We start from the raw sequence: 6564 nt of genomic DNA on the forward strand, positions 1-6564 counted from the left end.
AGTTTTTCTCAATCTATTGATACTTGCTTTTTGACCAATCAATATGTTCTATGTGCCAATGAGAAGGATGTATATTCTGTGATTATTGGGTGGTCTGCAGATGTCTATTAGGTCCAACTGATCAAGTGTTGAGTTTAAGTCTAGAATTTCTTTTAAACCTATTTCTTTGCTTTGGAGACATATGGGCACCAACAGTGAACAACTGTTCTTTCATACTAAGCTCTTTGGTTTTCCATGGGAAATGTTCAGATGTATCTATTCAAGTTGAAAGGAGATCTTTTTGATTTCTTAGATGAAATCTTGACTCTACATGACCACTCTCATGGAAAGGATAGGCCTTGACATGCATTTATATTACAGATATAATCTGTTTGTTTCCAAAATATAACCATCTTCTTTAAGGCAAGTTTATCCCACCATCCCAAGAATACATCTAAGTGTAGAAAATAATTGCAAAAATGGAAATGGAGTTTTTCCTCTTAAAATTAAACTCGACTTAACTTAGTCATAAAAAAACCCAAAATACTATTGTCTAAGAATAAATGCTTATTTTTTCATACATAATTATATGAAAAAAAGAGTTGGTGTCTATTCTTCATAATTATCAATGAGAGGCCTATATTATTTTTCTTATTTGTCTGCTTTCTTTAAATGATGGCATCTACTTTATAGTCCAGACTAGCTTCTCCAGCTGCAGCTGTCACATCTGCATTATAATCAGAAAGAAGAAAAGACAGAAGAAGGATATTTCTCCTTCTTTTAAGTATATTTCCTGGAAGTTAAATGCACCTTTTCTTCTGCTCAGACACCATTGATCAGAACAAATAGAAAATCTGGTTGCAAGGGGGGCTAGAAATACAGATTCTTCACTGTGTCACCACACATACAGCTATGCTTAGGGAGATCAATTGCTGAAGATAAAGGAAAGAATATGTGAAGAGAAAACACTGTCTCCCTTAGGAGGCTCATTTGATTTTGAGAATTTGGACCAGTTCCTTGTCCAAATAACCTCACCAGAAAAAAAACTTACTAAAATTATTTTGAACATTAAAAGAGACTCTTGTAAATTTACAGCACTTTTTTGATGCTGGTAAGTCCTACATGGCTGTAATTTTACAACTAATTTGTAATGAGTATGCTTTATGGACATCTCAGTGTCTATTGGTATATTCAATAGTAAGCAAGTTAAGAAAATGTCTTCTTTATTTACCATGTATTCAATAATAACGAATACATTTTCAACATTAGTCACAAAAATTACTGCTGTAACTTAATGATGAATTATCACAACACATTCCTTACTTTGGCTAACATTTACCAAACTTTTTTCTCAAACTTGTGCAGTTTAGGATATTATTAGTTCTGGTGACAAACATAGAATGATGAAGGGATTCAAACCACACAAAAATGTCAGCAATAACTAAAATATTATCATTACTACAGTGCCACAATATCTCCTGGTGCCTATGAAAGTATCCCAGGTTGCCTGGGACAATAAACTTGTTCGTCTTTCATGGTGTCAGAATTCAGTAAAAATCTTTCTTTTCCCAAAAAAATTATCAGGTTTTAATAAACACATTTTGACATGTCTGGCTTCATAGTATACTATGTCTCATCTCTCATTTTTTAGCTTGTCAGATATTGTCACAACAGAAAATATACAGTACTCAATTTTAGCAGCAATAGGCTTCACGTATTTATCAAAAATAGTGCACACCCATGAAGACTTGGCAGGCCACCAAAGTGGCCTGGAAACCCTTCTGAGAACCACTACCACCAAAAACATGCAATCTCATCTGTTCTTGTGGCTAAATTTGAAAGTAGTAATACTCTATAGACATATTTTTGGTTTTTCAATATGAATGTATTTTTTATTATTCTTATTTTTTAACTTAGTTACCATCTCTCTTATTATATAAGCAGTAAGCCTGTTAGTATGTTTATACATATTTTAATGTGATTTTATAAGACATGTAGCATACCTGGTGTTATATTACATATTACATGCATGAAGCAGACACTAATAGAACTCTGATTAAGCCTTTGCATGCTGCCATTTTTATGTCCACCTGAGGGCTTCTGAATCCTATTATCTGCATTTCTACTTCTCAGGTTTTTTTTGTTTTTTGTTTTTCCTGAAGCTATGGAAGGCTAATCTATCCCAGCATACAGCAGGCCAGAAGTCCTGCATCCCCTGGAAACAGTCTTTAACTGGTGACTGATGGTAGTGTCTCAGCTCCCTTGCTCTTTTGTTGGGATAATTTTGAGGCACATGTGTTATACCATCCTCCAGTGTTTCCCTGTAAGAATGAACTCCAGTCACCCATGTTGATTGCTGGCTTAGTCACTCACACAATATTGGCTGCCACCATTTCCCTGTGTCATTTTCTTCCTTTTCCCAGAAACTCTGAAAAAGAAAAATGCTGTTTGCATTTGTAATTTTTACTCGAATATTTTCTCCTCAGTTTGGGGAAACCACATTAAGCCAATATGATAAATGTCTCCCTGAATTTTCCTTTGCATATATAATTTCATTTTCTTTGTCTTAATATAATATCTCACATTCTCTTGTTTGAATTGTTACAGTAACTTCTCACCTGATCTCGACTGATTCACAGTCACTGGTTTTCTTCCTAAATCCCAAGGTTGGACTTGACTCAAACCTATTCAAAAATTTTCATTGCCTACTCTATAATGGCCCAATATGCAAAAGCTTCCAAAATTTCGCCTGGATATTTGCTTTCAACCTTGCTTTTCACTTTATCACCCAACTCTACTCTAGTGAGAGCAGAGAGGTTGCTGCCTGTAAACATAGCGTCCCATGCTCTCTCAAGCTTCAGTACTTCTACATAAGCTGGTTTCTCTGCCTAAAACTGTGTTGTTCAATATAGAAACCATTAAATTTAAATTAAATAAGTTTTAGCATTCTGTTTTAAAGTTTCAAGTTTTTGGTAGCCACAAGTGGTTCATGGCTATTATATCAGACACAACAGATATATAACATTTCTCTCATAGCAGAAAGTTCTATCAGACACCACTGGTCTGGAGCAACTTTGCTTTTATATTTAATGTTTAAAATACTTCTTTTTTTTCCCTTCTCATTGTGTCTCAAAAGCTAACATTTTTGCGAGAAATTCTCCCAATAAAGTCACGTGACTTTACTGATTTATTTATCTTTGCTTCATTCAATCACATGGCAGATATCATGTATTTTACTTAAGAATATTTGTGCATATAAACCTGTTCCCACTTAGGCAGATACCTTAAAGACAGGATTAGTGCATTCTCATCTTTGTATTTCTGGAGACACTTAACACAGTGCTTTACTTATCAACAACTACTTGTTTAATTATTGTGAACCAATCAAATCAACCTAAACTCTCCAGAAATTATTTATATAGGTTTCTTTTGAACTACTTCTTTCCAAATTCTATATTTTTGCCATCACTATTTAGAATCTAGTCTTGTCTGTTAAGTTTTGAAAGCCTATCTAATTTTTTTTTCCAGTGGAAAATAACTTTTATTCAGACCCCATCAGCTGCAAAATCTGTTCCTGGCATTAAGCTCCTTCTTGCTTTGCAATCTGGTCTTTTTTAGTGGTTCTTCTCCTCCATGGTCTGGAAGTGGTCACGGCCAAACCTGGAAACAGTGTTGATGAACTTAAGGTCAGTCTTCTCCAGAGCAGGACGCTTGGTCTGCACCATCAAAGGCTTGCGGAGGTGAGCACTCACTTCTTGATTCCCACCACACAGCCTTTCAGCATGACAAAGTCATTGTTCATTTCATTATAGTGGACAAAGCCACCCAGAGGGTTGATGCTCTTGTCGGACAGGTCACCATCAGTGGAGGCATTGTTCTTGATCCATTTTTCATCCTTCGTAAGGTAGCCATGGCCAATGTTACAGATTTTCTTGTTATTCTCAGTGCAGTGATGGTAGCCTTTCTGCCCAGCACATGCCACAGAGAAGGCCACACAGGCAGGATGCCACATCCTGATATAAGGAGCCTTACACAGCCTTTGGTGGGTCTTGTGGGTCAGCTTCTTGGTGTGCCAATGACTGGTGACCCCTTTTGTAGCCTTTGCACTTGGTCACCTCAATGGCATCAATTACCCTGTCCTACCCAAATACTTGGTTCACAGGGACCTGGTGCTCTAGCATTTCCCAGGCTCAGTCCAGTTTCTCAGCCACAGTGCCTCAGTTCACCTGGATCTCCATCGGCGTGCCTTCTTCTGGCACAGAGGAAGCAGGCACATCTAAGTATGGGCAATGATAGAGATGACTTGGCAGTACATTTTCATGCTGTTGAATTCCTTCTCCAGCTGCTTGTTGCCATCCTCATTCTGCCATTTCTTGTAGTACTTGGTAAAGGCCATCTTTATAGATTATGCCGGTTCTTATGGAAACACCTTTGCATTCATTGCTGATGTGCTCAGCAAAGACAGTCTTGAAGGTCTGGAGGCCTTGAGCGATTTCCATATAGCCACAATGCCCACAACTACCATGGGCGGTGTCTCCACAACTGTCACAGCCTCTACCACTTCCTTGTTCACCTTGGATCCTGGGCTGTCAGCTTCTCACATGATGTAGGCCATACCAGCCTTGTATCCCAGGAAGGCTGTGAGGTGGAATGGCTTGGAAGGTTCATCCTTAGGGAAGCTCTTCACCTTCCCATGAAGCCTGCTGCTGCGCTTCCAAGGCAGGAAGCCTAGGGACCCAAGCCAGGGAACAGTGAACTTCCAGTTAGACAGCACACTGTCACGTCCCGCTGGTCATAACTGTAAATCTTAATTGTATCATCTGTCTCGATTCATTTTGTCGGTTGTAGATATAACTGACAAAATACAAATACATAGTTTATTTTATTTCTCAGAGCACTAATTTTTTATTGCTCTCCTGGCATCTAAGTACACTGATGTAAGCTTCCCGTTGCTCTTTGGGGTTATAAAATCCTAGAGAATAGATGCTATATCTATCTAATTAAATTTGCCTATATTCTTGCATAGAATTTTGCTTATTGATTGCTTCATTTTGATGTTTGTTGCCACTTGCAGTACCTATTTGCAAAGAAAACCCATACATGCAAGTGGTTCGCTCTTCAATATTGGAAATATATTCTGGTTGAACTTCTCTTCCATTTATTTAGCTAAACATTAATAGAAGTTTTGAGTAGAGTTGGCCAAAAATAACCCTAGATTCTTTCACTGGAGATTTAAATCTCCCTTGATGTGATTCACAGACATTCTGTATGTATTGCTTCTTAACCTGTTGTGCATGTAAATAACAGTCCTATTATCTTTCTCAAATTTTATGATTTTCTATGTATGGATTATAAGGAGGACTTACTAAGCTGATGTTTATTTTTGCAGAGACCGTATGGACTCTAAATTATCACCAAATTATCTTAAAAGTTCTGTCAAACTATCAAAGAATATAGTTTAAACAAACCCAAGATAATCTTTTATAAATATGTTTATTAATTCAGGCCAAATATTTTTAATACATTTTTACTTTGAGGTATCAACCGTTTCATTTTCTTTTGAATAAAGATACCTAAAAACCATAGTCAAATATATGATGAGCTTTTATTTCTAAAGTGTTTGCTGAACTATGACACTCAAGAGTACACCAAATTTTCTTAATTACAGTGAATAAACAAAGTTTGAACACAAATAATTTCCAACTACTGATACCCATTGTTACATTTCTCAAATTCAAAACAAAAGTATTTCAGGAATTAAAGTTCAATAAATAATATCTAATCATTAGTTACTGAATGTTTAACATCATATGATTCCATACATTTTGTTATTCATGTCTACTAACTTTAGATTTTTAAAGTTTAAAATAGAAAATGTAATCTTACTTTAAGCTTTAATTAAGGACAGAATATTCAGAAGTGTCTAACACCTGCTTTATAATAAGTACCGTATTATTTCAAATGCCAGATGGACCAATTAAAATATTCTTTCAGATGATGCAAAATCTTATGATGTAGGTTGTTTTTTTAATCCAAATTTAAATATGCACTATAAGAATGTAAAATTATCTAAGTACATGTTAACGAAATAACTTCATTTTTATCATGAAGGGAATGCAAAGGACTAAGTCTTTTTTTTTGCACTCCTCCATGATGACCTCCCCATTCTTATCTTTCAATTTCACTAATGCTTTACTACCTGAGTTCTTGTTTCCCCATGATTACTGCTGCTAGAAACAGCTAATATTTTACATGGAAAATGAACACCCTAAAACAAAGAGAGAATTACAGGCTTTCAATTTACAATTAACCAGAAATTAAAACTGATGAAAGATAAAATGTATAGAGAAATATAGACAAAAATTTGTATATACTTTATAAAACCTATAACTTCAGCCAGCTCATATGTTTATACCAACTATTTAGTTACCATTTATTTCATTCATGTAGTAGAAACCCCATTAGTAGGTCCTATCTGGATCATCCATCTAGTACATGTTTTCCACACACTGAAGGTGTAAGTTTGGTGGAATTTCCTCAAAAGCATTATTCACAGTCCCTAACACCTTTTTTACACCCATTATT

General features: G+C 35.7%; 1 pseudogene; it reads right to left on the reverse strand.

Moving 5' to 3' along the window:
- On the reverse strand, positions 3505 to 4772 carry RPL3P8 (ribosomal protein L3 pseudogene 8; annotated as a pseudogene).

This window comes from Homo sapiens, chromosome 7 (genome assembly GCF_000001405.40).
Source record: "Homo sapiens chromosome 7, GRCh38.p14 Primary Assembly".
Taxonomy (NCBI): domain Eukaryota; kingdom Metazoa; phylum Chordata; class Mammalia; order Primates; family Hominidae; genus Homo; species Homo sapiens.